General features: G+C 36.5%; 1 protein-coding gene across 14 annotated transcripts in view, besides 1 other annotated feature; it reads right to left on the bottom strand.

The window, feature by feature from the left end:
• The window catches only part of PIP5K1B (phosphatidylinositol-4-phosphate 5-kinase type 1 beta), a 303,937-nt gene that overhangs the window by 236,278 nt on the left and 48,469 nt on the right, over positions 1 to 19,190 (bottom strand). The window lies entirely within an intron of this gene.
• Positions 16,680 to 17,230: an enhancer, noted in NCBI's record as "OCT4-NANOG hESC enhancer chr9:71370585-71371135 (GRCh37/hg19 assembly coordinates)". NCBI's record gives its function as "activates a minimal SCP1, AML or CMV promoter by ChIP-STARR-seq in primed H9 embryonic stem cells {active_cell/tissue: H9 hESC(primed)}" and the evidence as "EXISTENCE:reporter gene assay evidence [ECO:0000049][PMID:30033119]".

The raw sequence follows: 19,190 nt of genomic DNA, 5'->3' as shown, positions 1-19,190 counted from the left end.
GAGTTCTTTTTTCACATATTCAGTGCTGTGATCGCAAAATGATCCTACCCGTTTTCCACTACTCTTACCAGAAGGCTTTCTCTGTTCTCTTACTTTCAGTTTGATTCTGTGGAGGGAAATTCTTTCTTCATCTTCTTCCCTAAGGCTAAATAGTATTATAGAGCTATACATTTTCTGTGGTCTAAAAACTATGAATTGGAAGGTTCATATACAAGCAGGTAGTTTCTGAGTAGAATAATTGGGCAAAACCACATTTCTAAGATCTTTGCCAGCAGAATCTGTGTGTCTGGGAAGAGAGATGGGCACTGGGGCAGAGAGGCCATCAATAACTAAAATGCAGCTGGATCAGTGAATACTATTCCCTGCAGCAAGCCATTTGTTAATCCCCAACAGTAGCAGCTACCCTCCCCGGTAGCGCTGAACTTTTCAATTGGGACTAATCCCAGAGGCTTATTCTTATTTATTCACTTAAAACCCCATTTTGAATTACTGCTGTCATGTCACCATCCTTCTTGGCATACAATAAACTGCAGGAGGACACATGTTTGGCTGTGCCTGACAAACAGGTTGAACCCAGCCTCTCTCAGACAAAATAAGAAGAGCAACTGAGAGAAGATTCAAGAAGTCTCAGTAGTTACTGCTCCTTAAGGTGTGTCTTTCCCTCTACGTAGCTGACATCCAGAGGGATGTTTGGAGGAGTAGGTCAAATGTTCAAAAGAAGTTTGAAGCTGCTGCTGCAAACCTAGAGATTCATAAGCAACATGCCTTAGGGAAATTTTTTGGTTTTAGAAGGTGACAACTTCACAGCCAAGAATTCCTTAGCCTCTAAGACACTTTAAGATAAAAAGGAGTATTATGGAGAAAGCGGGCAGTTTCTTCCCTTTTCATGCACCTTTCCTTTGAGCTAAATATGACCAGTAAGTGCAACAAAAAGAAGGGTGGGTGTGTTCTAATTCCTCCTACCTCATACAAATTTATAAACTAAATACAACTGTATTTCAGTATCCACAACTTTTTCACCTGTAGCTCAATTTGATAGTAGGAAATGAATTTTTATCATCCACAGAGCTCAGCCATCTGAAAGTTCCCACTTATTAGGAAATGGTACAGATTTTTTTTCTTCACTCTCCTTTTGAAAACTATAAGTCTAAGATAGTAACCTTCAGCCCTTACAGTTAAGACCCTTTTCATCAGACAAGGCTGTCTTATCATTATCATTATCACATGATGGTAGTTCACACCCAGCCAGAGCCTTCTAAGTATTTTGTGTATATTAACTCATTCGATTTCTAGGATTCTTACCCTTATTTTATAGATAAGGGAAATGAGACAAAGAGAGGAGAGGTTAACTAAGTTGCCTGAGGTGACAGTAGAGGAATTTGAGCCCAGGGGTCTGGCTTCAGAAGCTGAGCTCTTATTCATCACTCCCTATTGACACACATGAAATACACTTGGGTTCCTCAAACCTGTCATTTTCATGGTGTTCCAGGTTTACTTTCAAGACTGTTGGTAGAGTTGAGGTGTACAGCACAGCCATTCTGCTTATCAGAAAGATAGATGAGGGGTCCATATAATTGTGTAGGCTTACAGATACTAGCGAGTTTATAAAATTAAGCAATTAGTAAATGCCCTATTTGTCCCAAAGCAGTTGTGAAAACTAATGCAAAGGGATAGAACCACAGCATGTCAGATCTGAAAGGGACTTTAGAAATCACCTTCACTAACTTTCATCAGCAGGGAGTCTGAGGTTCAGAAGGAGCCAATGATTTCTTCAGGGTGAAAAAGGCATCCGAGAGAGCTAGGATGCTTGATGAAGTCTGTAAGGATTGCTCCCTAATGTTTGGTCTCTAGATTCCTCTTTAACTTTAAACTCTTTCTCTATGAAAGAGTAACCACTCCCATGGTTTTAACTATGATCGATATGCTGATATCTCTCAAATTTCTATCTCTAGATAGGGCTGACATTTCCAGACTGTCATATATAGTTACTTACATACATTTCCGCTATATGTTCCACAGATTCTTCAAATGCATCTACACATGAGCTCAGTTCTACCCCAAACCCACTACAGCAGCGGTCCCCAACATTTTTGGCACCAGACCAGTTGCATGGAAGACCATTTTCCCATGGGATGGGGTGGGCAGTGGAAGGGGGATCTTCTACTTCAGATCATTAGGCATTAGCTTCTCATGTGGAGTGAGCAACCTAGATCCCTCACATGCACAGTTCACAGTAGGGTTTGCGCTTCTATGAGAATCTAATGCTGCCACTGATCCAACAGGAGGCGGGGCTCAGGCAGTAAGACTCACTGGCCTGCTGCTCACCTCGTGCTGTGTGGCCTGGTTCCTTACAGGCCGCAGACTGGTACCAGTCCACTTCTTTTGAGCATGAACTGCACAACAATCTCTCCAGACAACCAAGTCAATACTCAAATTATTCTAGATCCTTCTCTCCTTCATCCTTATTTTTACCCTGAGAAGTCAGACCCCCAGCAAGGTGCAGGAGGACTGGTGGCAAAAGGCAGGAAAAGAGAGGAAGAGAATCATGCCCCTCCTTAGGAGCTGAGATTTTAAACTTGCCACTCCCCTTCCTGAGGGAGAGGAGTAGGTATAATGAAGTCGGAGGCTTAGCTAATTACATAGCACTGGACACTTGGGATACCAGCTTGAAACAGTGATTTGACATGGTAGCGGGACATTTTATTGCCTAAGAGTGAGCAGAAAGAAAGGTTCTTGAATTTTCATTCAGAAGCCAGCGAAGACCTTTCTATTCCATGAGTGCTGCTTGTTGCATAAAGAAGGACAGAGGTCACTTGTGAGAAATGCTGAAGAAATAAGGACTGTTGATTTTTCAGGGCAGGAACTGGTGATCTGGAGAGAGCTCTAGTAGAGGCCTAGGAGAGAAGGCGTGGAAAACCCAGATGAGAGGAGCCACACCGTAGGCAGGTGGTAAGAAACTGGAGGCAGTGAGATAGGCTACGTTTTCCAGAATTTGGCTAATTCAAATTGAAAAAGTATTTTTCAAGTTCCAACTGGGTGCCAGGTACCCTGCTAGGCATTTTCATGAAGAACGAGAGGAAAGCAAGCAATGTCATGCCACCTTGACAGGCCACGGAAGTGTTCTTGAGGACAGAATTTCCTTAAACATTCATTCTTTCCCCAGAAATAACTAGAGGTAAGAAAAATACCGATGATACAAAAAAGGAAAGACAAATGGGACCAAAAGCCTAGAGTGTATTGAGGGCATAGAACTAAGGGCAAAATTATAGGTTATAAATATTTATTTATTTAAAGTCTATAAAATAAACCTTAGTTTTAGATTAGCCAAATCTGGGGAATTACATTGTTCTTTTCTCATAAATAATAGCTAGTTATACTTTCAGTGTGCTGCTTATGTTTAACCCAACCCACCATTAACAACATAAAAACATCTGCCCTTCAGCAAAAAGGAAGGGAAAATGCAATTAATGCTACTGCTTTTCGAATACCTAACAGATCTGACCATCAGATGTAGAATATAAGCTAGAAAAAAAAACACAGTATAAGTGACAGTGAAAACCTGTCCCATTTTTCCTACTTAATTTGCTCTTGGAAAATGTAAAATTGAAAGGCTCAATTAATCTTAATGATGTGTCACAGAACAGAAAGATTTCCCTGGGCTAAAAAGCATTCTGCACATGCCTCAGAATTCAAAAGAAAGAATGCATTGAGGAAGATGTAGACAATGGCCAGTTCCCCACAAAGATAGCCTCTCAATCTTCTTTTTCAATTTTTAAAATAATTTTTCAATTTAAAAAATAATACGGGGAAATAGGGATGCATTACTGGGAATAAACAAGTTGTACATTTACTGAGGCAAACACTTCATCATTTGTTCAAATGCTTCCGTGGCTTTTCCCAACAGGGCGACTACGACTAGCTAATTTTTAAAAGTACTGTTGTATGACCAAGAGTGGAGAAGGTTTGCCCAGTATCTTTACTTTATTATTAGCACCAGGGGTTTCTATTGAAATGCCTCCAAGGGCCAACAACAGATAGATAACTAATGGGTGACAGTACTGAGAGAATAGAGCATTTGCACTTAACAGACTGGAGAGACCCAGGCACCTAAAGGTGGCTGACAGCTACTGCTCAATTCCACCCAACAGCTGCCCTTGCAGAAAAGGATGCCATACATTGCCCAAGCTTCTAATTTTTTAATAGAGGTTAAAAATCTAGATTTTTAAAAATGTGGATGCTTACAATTTGTAGATGTTGAACTAAAAAACAAATTTAAAAGTTAAACATAGGGTAGACCTAATCAAAAGGTTCTAAAGGCTGTCTTAGGCTCTGAGGACAAGCTGTGACCTCTGACAACCCATTCTTCTCTCTCCTTACTTTACAGTCTATGCCTTCCTTCCCCAGGACTGTGAATTCCTCTTCTGCCCCTTGATGATCACTGCTCCATAAAGTCCTTTGTCATTTTTATGTATACCCAACTTCTGTCTCTGGCTACATGGTCTCTGAAAAAGGGCAGCCACTGTGTCTTGTAGGTAAAGTGTCCTGCAGCACTTAGTGTAGGGCCTGGGGTGTGTCACATACATATGAATGATGGTGGAAACTTCAAATCATGTATACATCCACTTTTTCCTTTTCTTCCCACTTCTCTTCCCACCGGCATAGTTATAACTAGCCATCCATCTTACTGATTTCTCTTGTTGTTTCCAATAATTTTTCAGTTGATTCTTTCTAGCTGTGCAATTGAAATATCTGCAAATAATGTTAACTTTGCAACTTCCTCCCCAATATTTATGTCTATTATTTCCTTATCTCCTGACTGGTACTTTCCGTGTACAGTTTATAATTTCAGTGAAAGTCAGCATTCTTATATATTTGATTTAAATGGGAATGCATTCTACTTATTTTACTAAGTTTTAATTTTTTTCTTTTTATTTGGGAATGTGTGTCAGTTTTTTTTGTTACTATAAACTTATAATTTTATTTATTCCTTTAAAAGTTCATTTTAGTGGCATATAATTTAGTGCAATAAAATTCACCCTTTTAAAGAATATAGTTCAGTTAGTTTTGACAAACTTAAACAGTCATGTAACCACTGCCCAAATTAATCTACTAGTGGATGTTGAATTTTAGTATTTTTGGCACCTATTAAGATGACCATACAGGTTTTTCTTTTTTCATCTAATATGTGGACTAGCTTCTCCATTATTGAGCCAAGCTTAAATTCTTGTGATGTACCTACTTGATCATGGTATTTATTTAATGCATTGCTAAATTATTTCTTTTTCTTTTTTTTTTTTTTTTTTTTAAGACAGAGTCTTGCTCTGTCACCCAGGCTGGAGTGCAGTGGCGCAGTCTCGGCTCACTGCAGCTTCCACCTCCCAGGTTCAAGCGATTCCCCTGCCTCAGCCTCCCGAATAGATGGGATTACAGGTGTGCACCACCACACCTGGCTAATTTTTGTATTTTTAGTAGAGACGCGGTTTCACCATGTTGGTCAGGCTGGTCTCGAACTCCTGACCTTAAGTGATCCACCCGCCTCGGCCTCCCAAAGTGCTGGGATTACAGGCGTGAGCCACAGCGCCCGGACTGCATTGCTAAATTCTATCTGATGGTATTTTATGAAAGGGTTTTGCATCAAGATTGATCTGCAGTGTGTGCACATACAGGCACATGCCCATGCCAGCTATCTTTGTGAAGTTTTGGTACTAAGATCATTTTGGTATCTTAAAAAATCTTGAAAGTCTGTCTTTTGCTCTATACTTAGAAAAAGTTGAAATAGTAATGTGACCATCTGTCAGGTTTACATGGGGCATTCTAGTTTATACTGGTTCTCTCAATTAAAGCTCCCTTCAATAAACTATATAGTTACCCTACTTAATATCAATATCCCTGACTATTTGAAGAATTTACTTGGGCTATCTGGGGGCCTGCACTTTGAATTTAGAAAGCATCTTTTGATAACATTTTTATTTCTTTCATGGTTACTGACTCTCTCCTGGGACCACTTTAATAAAGTAAATTTTCCTAGAAATACCACTTACTTCACCTATCTCCATAGTGTTTCATGTAGTACCTAACAATATTTTTTGGTTACTTCTCCTTTTTGATATCTGATATTGTTGATTTTTTACCTTTGTTTTGGTAATAAAGAGATATTTATTTATTGTAAAAAAATTTAAAATACAGACACATAGAAAAAAATAGTTGAAAATTACCCACAATCCCATCACCCAGAAACAATTACTTTTGACACTGTAATAAAAAGCATTCCAGATTTTTATCTGTGTACATACCTACCTATCTACATAATGCAATGTTTATTAACTTGCCCTTTCCATATTTGTTGTGAACACTTTTTCCATATCAGTAAATATAGACTTACATCTTCAATTTCAATGGCTGTGAAGTATGGCTATTCCATGACCTTCTTATACATATTTCTAATAGGGGATAAGCAGGTAGGTTAATTTTTTTCAACTATTTTTAACAGTGCTGCATTGAACATTATATAAGATCTTTGTACGTTCATTTTGTTGGACAGATTATTCAAAGTAGAAGTGCTAAATCAAAGATAGATACATTTATAACAATAGTTTTTGCTTATAAGAGATGTATTTATTTCATATATAAAAAAAGCAGCAAAAAACAAAGTAAAAGTTTCCTGCAATCCATTATCCAGTGGTAGCCTCTGTTAACATTTTGTTATAGATATCCACCAAGTCTTAGTGCACATTCTTTTTTAACCATATTATACATACCAAGTTGTCACCTCCTTACCATATTATGCCATCTTTTCCTACACAATATCATTCTATATAGCTACAAGGTACTCAGTGGATAAAAGAGCCATAATTTGATTATCTACTAATGGAAATTTAAGGTGTTTCCAATATTTGAGATTAGAAACAATGCTATCATGAATATCATTGTCTTATTTTTTGGCCCCTTGTCCAATTACTTCCTAAGGTTAAATTTCCAGCAGTGGAACTGCTAGATCAGAGGATATGTATAGCAAGGCTTCTTGTAAACACATCACCCTTGAGAAAGTCTACATCAATTGTCATTCCCAACAGATCTGACAGTGCTTGTTCTCCACCTCTACTTCAACCTTGGTATGATCATTCTTCTTAGCCTTAGACTTAGATAACAAAAAGTGGCACTTTTTTAAGTTTGCATTTTCAAAAGTTACTAACAAATTGGATATTTTAATGTGCTTTTTGGCCCTTCTCAATAAATGGCAAATCACTTTCTCTAATCTATTAGTATCTCTCTAAACACAAAATAGCCATAATAAATTATATTTGTTTCTTAAAATCTTAGGTCCTATTTTGATGGAGAATTTATGTTAAAAGAAAAAAATGCATGCCTTGTACATTTAAAAATAGCTCTGGCACTTCTGCTTGGAACTTTGCTTTAATCCAACTCAGACAAGAGAACGACCATTTTCTCCATGTTGCATTAATAAAAATTTGTACTAGGCATCATTATGAAATATTTGCTAGAACACAGAATTCAGTACAGCACAGGTACACCCTCAAATTTTCAGTAAAGTATAAGCATTTTAATAAATATTTTATGACACAGTTTCATCTCCAACTGCTCCATGGAAAAGACCATTAAAATGTTACTAGTGGCAAGTTTTGTTTCATCACAATGCCAACATCTATAATGTTTGAAATATTAAAAATTAGAAGCACAGTTTTTCTCAGAGCTTTCGTTTTTAAATAAGCACCCATTATGAACAATTGTAACTGATTTCCTTTGGAGTAAAAACATGTAAACACTCACTTTTTTAAAAAAACAGTTAAGAACAAATGACCTGCAAGTGAATTCAAGATAATGAGCAGTGACTGTAGCATTCCATCAAAGCATTTTTGTTGAAATGCTTTAAAACAATATTCAGAATGCATGTTCTAAAAGGCAGGGAATTTACATGGGCCTTCTCCACTTTTTTTTAAAATAAAAATTAGTTTTATTTTAAAATTAGTTTTATTTAGCTTAAAATGCTTCAGTATTTTAAATAACCATCACTAAGGAAATCAAGGTAATTACAATTTCAAAATCAATTACAAAATCAATTTTTCTTTGCTACATTGATGTTTATGGTTAAGAGACCACAGAATGAAGGTGAGGACGAGGAAAGCTTTAGTTTATCACCTGTAACTAGCATAAATTCTTTGTCTTTGCTAGCATTATTACTTTTTGTTTTGACAAATTATTGCCTAATTTGTCTGAGCTTACAATGCTTGGTAGAATGTATAAGGTAACATTATAGCATTAAACAGTAGTATGAAAATCCAGTAAAATAAATGTTTATATCCCTAAAGCATTCACTAGAAAGATACCCAAATTCTAAAGGCCTACAGTAGTAACTTGATGAGTTAAGCTTATTATTATACAAATATAGCAACTTCATGAGACAAATTTTATACTCCCAACTCATTCATTGAACTACAGGTCCTCAAACAGAATGGATCTCAAAATCTAATGTTAGAGATGATTAAAACAACAAGTTAGGAAAATAAGATGACATTTAGAAGTGAAAATGCCATCCTATGTAATCAATAGTACTGTGAATTCTCCCACAGTGGATGGGTTGAACTGACTATTCCCAAAAATAACGCACTGTTTAGGTGCTGAATGCAATGAATAGATGAACACTATGGAGACCACTTATTGTTGAGATAAAAGTAAACCCCAAAATATCACCAAAGAGCAGCCACCTTTAAAAAAATCAAGATGAACTGGAAAACCATTGACATCTCCTGAAAGCATGCTGAAACAAAGGTGATGATTCCAAAAAAAAAAAAAAAAAAAAAAAAAAGAAGTTATAGTAGAGGGGTGTCCAAAAAAGGGATATCTGTAAAAGGAGAGGGAGGAGAAGATCAGAGTGTAACCAGCATTTCCAGAGAAGGTACCAACCAGGTCCTGTTTCTCATCTCCCTGCCAGACATGTAGTAAGTGAGCAAGGCTAATCCACCAGCCTTTCAAAGCACTCATCTACATTTACTCTGACTCTCCTCATCCTCACTTAAGAAACCATGTGATGTTCACATAGGAGCTCAAGGAGATTTACCAATTCATAGGAAGGAAATACACCACCTCATTGCCATAATTATCACAGCATGCTGAGTGGTTTCTATTTTGAGTGTAAATTGATAAAATGGCATTTTTCTTCATCAGTCTCTCTAAATGATTTCAAGTAGTATGCATCAATTCATGGGGTCTAATCAGCCTTGCTAAATGATGACACGGAGTTTATAAATCTATAGAGCTGTGAATTGTATTTTTTTTTAACATCCTTCACAATTTCCCCAGCCAACAGTATTATGTCAAAACTCCTTAGCACAGAATCTGTAGCTTTTGCCTAATTTTTCAACCTCATGTAATATCATTGTGATCATCATCATCGTCTCAAAGGCAGCTGACATTCGTTGAGTGCTTTTTTATATATCAAGCCTAACCTAAGCATTTTACTGATGATATCTCATTTAAAACTCACAAAACCCCACAAGGTAGGTAGTGTTGTTTTATTGGTTTTACTAAATGGGGAAGTAAAGCACAGGAAGGTTAAACGCTTTGCCTCATTCACATGCCCACATGAATCTCACACTTAAGTCATACTCAAATATCTGCAAGTCTTGTAAATGTAGCATGCTTTTGCATACCTCTTTTCCTCTGCACAGGCTGCTGGCTTGGCCCAGAAAATCATCCAACTTTTTCTTGTCTCACCATTTCCTATTGATCCTTCAAGACTCTGTTTGAGCAAAGCTTCCTCTGAAAAACCCAGATATCCCGGTCCATCCTAAGAAAAGTCAGATGCTCCCTTCTTCTGTGCTCTTATTACCGTATGTACCCATTCACACATAACATGAGTCTGTTTGTGAATCTGTTCCCCACTGTGCACAGCCTCTGTCATAGAGAATGCCAGGATCCTTGCATTAAGCCTCATATTCGATAACTGCGCTACTCCAGAGGGTACCACTCATATAGACTACAGAGTGAGGAAAATGTTAACACGTGGAGTTGTACAGTATGGGAGCTCTAAGGATAGTATCCCCATTGTCTTCTAAAGGAAGTGGCACATCCCATACACTCATAAACGTTTCTAAGTGACTAAGTGGCTGAAACAGAGATCACAATAAATGTGAAATGGAACTTAACCACTGAGCCCTCTTAACCAATGTATTATCCTCTAAATCAACACTTCATAAGTGCAAGTCTAAATAATACCATTAACCTAAAGATAAGTGTTAGTTCTGTTGCCCACTATAAGTACACTCAGAAAAATCTCTGGTTTATCTCTTCTATATCAGCTTCCTGTGCATTTTCTTTAAATGTTAACAATGAATTTTGAAGATTTCCTTCTAAGCCTTTGATAATGGCATAATTAATCTGCAAATAGATGTGGCATTTCCAAAGACGCAGATAATTATAGTGAGAACTACACATAACAAATCTACCCAAGAGTGGACTGAAATGCAAATTAATACAGTCTAATTTTTCTATTTTAATGAGCATGTTCACTATGGGCATTATGAATCTGTATTCAGAAAAACAACATTCCACGACTTTCAGCCACCTGCTCAGCAGGGAGAAAAAATTGCACAATGAACTTTGGCAAACATTTATGATATTTTTGATTAGAAATAAAAAAAATTAAGCTTAGATAATGCATTTTATTTCTTTTAAAAGGACATAGTTTCTGTCTTTTTGTGGATAGGAACATGATCTTAGGTAAAAGAACCTTCTACACATAACCAGCTTTAAGAAATAGCTGGAGATTGTGACAGCTTTCCCTGAAGAGAATCTCTTCAGTTAATCCAGGACATTACTTAGCCCTAATTTTTTCAGTTGATTCCTGCCATCCATTAACTAATTCAGAGTGCGAAAAGGGAACAGAGGAAAATAAATTACTAGCTCTGCAATTATTGGTTAAAACTTTAAAAACTCAGAAAGATGGCAATGCGATAGGCAGAATAATGGCTGCCAAAAGATGTCCACATCCTTACCCCTGGAAACTGTGACTATAGTCTATCACACGGCAAGGGGAATTAAGGCTGCAGGTGAAGTTAAGATTGCTAATCAGCTGACCTTAAAATAAGATTATCCTGGATTATGCAGTGAGCACAGTGTAGTCACAAGGGTTCTTTTAAGAGGGAGGCACAAGAGTCAGTGTACAAATGGTATGATGTGAGAAAGACTTAACCAGCTACTGCAGCTTTGAAGACGGAAGGAGGCCATAAGCCAAGGAATGCAGCCTAACTCTAGAATCTGGAAAAGGCAAGAAGAGGAATTCTTCCCCAGAGCCTCCAAAAGGAAGGCAGCCTTGTAGACATCTTAATTTTAGTCCAGTGAGACCAATTTTGGCCTTCTCACTTCCAGAACTATGAGATAATACATTTGCATTGTTTTAAGCCACTAATTCTGTATAAATTTGTTACAGCAGCAATAAGAAATGAATATAGGAAATTTCACCTCAGAGAAGAAATAAATTATTTCTGTAATCTCTAAAGCATGTGAGTATTTCTTCCCCCAAAGGAGAGACAAGAACTCCAGCAGACTACCATATCTTAATGATCATTGCCTTCTCTACCATAATACTTTGCAGCAATTTTATAGCAATGGTCTGAAATATATTCGAATTGGTATGGAATTTTGAGGCTTTGTGCATGCAAGATTCATTCCATTTTACAAGAGCCAGAGAGACCTCAGAGAGGAACATCTGGTCCACTCCATGTAATTAATGTGCAAATGAAAATATCCACATCAGAAGGCTTGGGTAATACCATACTCCAGGCCTCACAGCTAGTTAGTTGCATAGCCAATATAAGAATCTTCATTCTCTCTCTCTCTCTCCAATTATTCTCCAATTCCTTATGCTACTAGTAACTAGGATTAAATGCTACATATAAAACTAAAACTAAAACCAAAATGATCACTATCTGCCAGATTACAACCATCAGAAAATATGTATGTGTTTTTATGAGGTAGAACATGTCAACAGGAAAATTTGAGAATAGGACTCTTTAGAATGAAGCCAAAAATACCTTTCCATCCCCTGCCAGCAAGGCTTGGCTGAGATGAGACTTTGGCATATGCTCATTTATTTTTAGCATATTTGTGAGCTCCTACGTATTATTATGCTAATACTAGAGGCAGAGCTTTAAGCAAAATAGTCATGGTTTTTTGGACTCAAGGAGCTTACAGTCTGGAGGTGAGGACAGAGAGATAAGCAATGGGGTCTCTGTTAGCTAAACGTTAAACCACAACTTAGAGGAAGAGTCCAGCAGAGTGAGCTGACCTTCATGGTTTGTCTCTCACTCATGGACTGTCCCAAAGTCCTAACAACTAGATAGGCCAACAACTCACTCTGAGAAATGTGGGTATGAATTCTCCTTTTCACAGAACTCCAGCCTCAGCAGCTAATGAGAAACACCACTAGACACTGGTCATAGATAACTTAACTCCCACGTTTCACTGTCCACCTCCATTGCATTTCATTGGAATAGTCCTGTTTGTTTGTCTGTTTTTTTCACTGAGGACTTCTGTTTGCTTCAGGTTGGAATGTATGGTTAAAGTAACTTTTTCAGAGAAAGAGTAGTTTGACAACAATATTTTTAGTTCTGATTAACTAGAGTAGTTGTTATTGATTTGTGAGAAGTACTAGGTAAAGCAATGGATGGATGACCCATTCCAAAAGAGAGCTGTGCTCATGGCTGAGTTACATGAACTGTGCCACAGAGCTGAGCTTGTAGCTAGCCACAGATGTTGTGCACACCAAAATTGTTTTATATTGTATTACTAAATTTAATACATTTAGCCCTACATTTGTTAGCCTTAATAAAGGGTAATCCAGATCTCCTAATGTCTTAACTAAGATAATACAAAAATGTAGCTTCTGACCAACCCTGTTTGCTGCTTGAAATATTTCTTTTCATTTTTTACAAAAGCCATACCTTAGAAGATTGCTGTCTGATGGAAATTTTAATGTAAGCCATACAGGTAATTTAAATTTTTCTGGTAGTCATGTTTTTAAATATACAATGTAATAGGTGAAATTTTAATAATATATTTTAAAACTCAGTACACAAAAAACATTTCAGCATGAAATCAATATAAAAAGTAATGAGATTCCACATTTTTTTCTATTAAGTTTTCAATATTTGGATTGCAGTTTATACTTACTGCACATCTCATTTCAGGTGTTAAATTTTCTTTGAAAATATTGATTGTATTTATCCATTCTGACAATCTGTTTTTTAATTGGTGTGTTTAGAACATTTATATCTAATGTACTTTTTGATATGGTTGGATTTAGGGATGCCATTTTATTACTTGTTTTCTGTTTGTTTCTTCCGTTTTTCATTCCTCGGTTTCCCCTTTCCTGCCTTCTTTTGGGTTACTTGTATATTTTTTAGTATTCCACTTTATTATGTTTTCTTGACATGTTTTAGTTTTCTAAATGGTTGCCCTAGAGATCACAATACACATGCTGTACTCAATTTTTAACAGTCTACTTAAGAGTATCTTACCACTTCAACTGGAATGTAAAAATCTTAACACGCCATGAGTCCCCTTACTCCCTGCTTTATGCTATAGTTGTCATATATTACATCTGCATTCATTGAAAACCTCATCAGACAACATTTGTTTTCTTTCAACCATTATGCATATTTTAGAGAACTAAAGAGGAGAAGATTAGTCTAGTGTATTTACCAGATATTCACCATTTCTATTTTTCTGCCTTCATTCCAGATGTTCTAAATTCTTTTCTGGCATCATTTCCCTTCTGTCTGAAGAACATCCTTTAGCAATTGTCTTATACAAGGTCTACTACTGGCAATGAATTCTCTTAAGTTTCCCTTCAGCTGAGAATGTCTGAAAGTTCCTTAAGGATATTTTTGCTGAATATAGAACTCTGAGTTGACAATTATTTTCTCTTAGTAGTTTTAAAATGTTATATCACTTTCTCCATGATGAGAAATACACAGTCATTCAAATCATTGTTTCTCTACAGGTAATGCATTCTTTTCCTCTGTTTTCGAGATTTTTTCTTGTCTTGGGTTTTCAGCAGTTTGATGATGATGTGTTTCAGTGAGATTTACTTGGGTTCATGTCTGGGGTTTTATGAGCTTCTTGAATCTGTAGCTTTATGCCAAATCTTGGGATTTTTCAGTTATTATTTATTCAAATCTTATTCCAGTGCCATACTTTTTTTCCTCTCTTTTCCTGGGGTTCTGATGCCATGAACATTAGATCTTTTATTATTATTCCACAGGTCCATGAGGCTCTGCTTCCCCTCTCCCTGCAATCCTTTTTCTCGTTGTTGTTCGTATTGTACAATTTCTGTTGAGCTATCTGCAAATTCACTGACTTTCCTCTCTTTCACCTCTGTTCAGTTATTGAGCCTACTTAGTGAGTTTTAAGAATTGTGGTTACTGCATTTTTGAATTCTAAAATTTTAATTTGGTTCTTCTTTATATCATGTATTCATTTGCTGAGAATTTCTTTTTGTTTCAGAAGTGATTGTTTTTACTTGTTGAGCATTTTTGTAAGAGCTGCTTTAAAAGTCTGTCAGATAATTCCAACATCTTTACCATTTCAGTATTGGCCTCTGTCAATTGTCTTTCCTCATAAAAATGGATAATTTTCCTGGTTCTTCATATGCCAAGTAATTCTCGGTTGTATCCTAGACATTTGGAACACTCTATTACAAGATTCTGAGTTTTGTTTCAATCCTACTGAGAATGTTGCTATTTTTGTCTTAGCAGGCAATTGTCGTGAATAGCTTCAGGCTTCAAGTTCTAAACCTCTTTCCGTGGGTTACGTTTCCAACATCAGTTTAGTTTTCAAAGCCTTTGTAGAGACTTCCACTTCTAGCCATAGTGAAGTAACAGGAACCAGATTTACCTCTCTTTTGTCAATTTGGTGGAGCTTCCAATTCTGGTCATTTCCCCTCATCGTCCTGCCACTATTTACTTTTCAGGGTCCTCAAATAGCTGCTTCATGCATTCTATCCAGGTTTTATAGCTGCACTCGGTGGCAGAGTCAGAGTAAACTGTGTTTACTTCATCTTATCTGGAACTGGAATCTTCTGACTTTATTTAGATTTCATAAAATTTGCAGTTGAAAAAGTAGACTTATATACCCAGTTGCTCCAAACATACATAAATGTTTTCTAATAACTAAATGAGTATCAGTTTTTAAATTAAAAATAATTTTAAAATCACATATTTCAGCCACTCTTTAAAGGGCTTAGTATCCACACATGGTCAGAGCATTCTTAGAAAGTCATATTAAAGAATTTACGAGAGAGAGCAGGAGTATAACCAAAGGTCTAAAACAAGCATCCTCCACTACCGACTCTTTCAGAGAGAAAGAGGTAGGAACTCACATTTTTCAAGGCCTTTTCTTTTTTTTAACATAATGAAGCCCCCTAGTTCTCTTCAGTCACGATAAACCAGAGCTAAGTTTAATGAAACTAGGTCTCTGAAGTTTCTCCTATCTGAGTTTTGCTACCTTGGCCAGTAATGCCAACCTCTTTCTTTTAAGCCACCTTCCATGTCACAAATGTAATTTTTTACTGAAATTTTAATCTTGTCTTTTAAAATAGAAAATTAAAATTCTAGAAATGTGCTGCCAAATACTATAGCCACTAGCTACTAGCCACATGCAGCCACTTAGTATTTGATAAGCCTGTAACTGACAGGGTGAACTTTAAATTTTATATAATGGTAATTAAAGTTTTTAAAAAATTGATGCTTGTTTCTGTTCTTGGGAAACTGCTAAGTATGTTGGAACAACTTGGGAATGTCAGTCTACTTTTTCAATTATGAAAGTTATGAAATCTAAATGCAGATTAAGTATTTCTAATGAAACCTGCGTGTCTAAACTAATATGTGCTATAAGTATAAAATATACACTGGATTTGGCAGATTTAGTCTGAATAAAAAATAGAAAATATATTAATAATTCTTCATAGTTGATTACATGTCGAAACTATATTCTTGATATATTAGGCTACATAAAATATATCATTAAGATTAGTTTTACTTGTTTCTCTTTTTAAATGTGCATACTATGAAATATAAAATTACATATGTGCCTCTCATTATATTTGTATCAGACAATGCTGTTCTAAATCTCTTCTAAAGATTGAGATGCATACAAGTATTTTAAGCTGAAATTCCAGAAAATGGAAATATAGGCAAAAATATAAGATATTTGTTTGGTGCAAAGAAGAAATGATAGAGAAAACATATAGAGAGAAGAATAACATGTACACATTATCAGAATCCTCAAACAAGGTGAAAGATAAAAGAAAATTCTTTTCTAATTCTCTTTATTTTCAATTAATTGAAATGCAAAAATGATTAGGACAAAAAGATGTTCAAAATTACTCTCTGCAATACTATCTTTGTTTGTTGGTAGGCTGTTAATTTACAGATGACCTTGTAAAACAAAAACTGTAAATGAAGAATGAATACACAGACTGCAGACTGCATAGCAGCTACTAGACATTTTTAGACATCTATTTTTTCCACAAATGTGTCAAGCTGACAAAATAAGAATATAAGCAATTTACAAACTCTTCACATTAAATTCTAATTCAAGCTCTTCCTTTTTCGGCTTTGGAAATGGAAATGGATCTGCTATAAGTTTCTAGAATTAATATTATACAATAGAAGGAGACATGCTGACCTGTCAAACAGGGAGGTCTTAAAAAATATTTACATAAAATAACACATGGCCAAAGGCCCTAAAAAAGTCCCTGGAATTTGGTCTTAGGAGTAAGACAATTTATGCAGCCTCCTTCTCCACACGATTCTTTGTGCACAACAGGAATGAGTCTACACTGTTAATAGTCTGTAATCAGTGCCAGACGACTGATCAAAGATGGCAAAGTAGGGCCAGCTTTCAGAGGCCACCCAGTTGCTGAAAGAAAAGGATTATTTTGTTCAGGTGACCTTAAGCTTCCTAGAGGTCAGGCAGGATGATCTAAGCATTGTTTTTCAGGCTCTCTGAGGACACCTGGATCAATGACTATTTGAAGACTGTGGGTGAACCATGCTGAGTTCATCCTGCGATTCATCCTCCGGCTCCACCCATTTCTAAGGTTGCACAGACCACCTCTTACTTCAGATTCCCACAGCCCAACTAGCCTAAATAACTTTAGTTGTCTTATTTAAATGTTCCACCATCTAGGAAAAACACATGTGATTGTAATGTTTAGATAAAAGGACAGTATACAAACCAGTATGTAGTGTGATAGCAATTACTCAGACACAAAACAACTGTAAATATCAACAGTGGTTATCCCTAGTAACAGGCTTATATTCCCTCTATTTTTCAATATTTTCCACATTTTAAGGAGGAAAAATCTTGTGTTACTTATACAGAGCAACTTATTCTTTGTATGAGGGAGCAGTAAGAAACAAAAAGGGTCTATATCTATGAAAGTACATGAATACATTTTGAATTAGTATCTTCCTCTGACATTAGCACCTAATATATTTGTGATATTTGCAAACTTCTTGTGATATCAGTAAGCAGAGGTATACTCATAAATGTGCTTTCAAGGTGCCATGGTGCTATCCAAAAACACAGATCAGTAGTAAAAACGAAAGTGGATTCTTTGGGAAAGCAGTCTCCAAAGTCAGCAAACAACAAAAGGAAAACATTTCTTTTTTGAAGTATGAGTGTAAACTTCAACCATTCAGTTACACTGTACATCTAAGGTCTTGACAATGCTGCATGAAAAATAAAGGCTTTACATTACATAAATGTTTGATCTACTTTCCTAACAATTATGATGCACTTCAAATTCTTACAGATCTTTCAAAGTTCAGCAAGGCAGAAAGAGCAACACAATAAAATGTATTTATTTATTGATCAATTGGTCACTGTTTAGACATAGAGTTCCAGGTAAATATAGTTGCCATTTTCACAGAGTTCAACTGCTACATGTCAAGAAGATCACATATAGATAACATGTTATTTAAAAAAAAGAGACTAGCACTGCCAGAGTACTGTAGGACAAGAATCACAAATCATTTATGATAGTGAAACTCTAGTGACATTCTCTTTAAAATCAGAAAAAAAGATGCCTCATATAACCTCTGTTATTTTAATATCTTTCTAGAAGTATTAGCCAAAGCAGTAAAAATTATAAATAATGTAAACTGGAAGATAAAATTATTATTTGGAAATGTTATGAAACTCCACTGACAAAATTCAGTAGAATCACCTGAAAATAAAATCAGAGCCAATATACAAAAATCAATAGCTTCCCTAATTTCTAGAAAGAGCCAGGTAAAAAATAAAATGGGGTAAAAATTCACATTCATAAAAGAAAGAAAGAGTATAAACAAATAGAATACATTCAAAAGATAGGTGTACAGAACTAACATTAAAAAATCATGGAACCGGCCGGGCGTGGTGGCTCACGCCTGTAATCCCAGCACTTTGGGAGGCTGAGGCGGGTGAATCACGAGGTCGGGAGATTGAGACCATCCTGGCTAACACGGTGAAACCCCGTCTCTACTAAAAATACAAAAAATCAGTCAGGCATGGTGGCGGGCGCCTGTAGTCCCAGCTACTTGGGAGGCTGAGGCAGGAGAATGGCGTGAACCCGGGGGGTGGAGCTTGCAGTGAGCCAAGATCGCGCCACTGTACTCCAGCCTGGGCGACAGAGCGAGACTCTGTCTCAAAAAAAAAAAAGAAATCATGGAACATAAAAGAAGACTTAAATTAATAAAATGATTCACCATCCTGCTGAATGTTAAAGCTTAACTGTAAAGATGACAATGTTCCCTTAAATAAACGCAGAAATGCAATGGAGTTACAATTAATATCCCACTAGCAGTTTTGTTTAGAACTTGACAAAATTACTCTAATGTTCTTATAGAAGAACAATCATGAAGAATATTCAAGAAGGGCCGGGCATGGTAGCTCACGCCTGTAATCCCAGCACTTTGGGAGGCCAAGGCGGGTGGATCACCTGAGGTCAGGAGTTCAAGACTGGCCTGGACAACATGGCGAAACCCCATCTCTACTAAAAATACAAAAATTAGGCTGTGTGCGGTGGCTCACGCCTGTAATCCCAGCACTTTGCGAGGCCGAGGCGGGCAGATCACAAGGTCAGGAGATCAAGACCATCCTGGCTAACATGGTGAAACCCCGTCTCT

This window comes from Homo sapiens, chromosome 9 (assembly GCF_000001405.40).
Source record: "Homo sapiens chromosome 9, GRCh38.p14 Primary Assembly".
Classification (NCBI taxonomy): Eukaryota; Metazoa; Chordata; class Mammalia; order Primates; family Hominidae; genus Homo; species Homo sapiens.
This window is presented reverse-complemented; position numbering and strand designations above follow the sequence as displayed.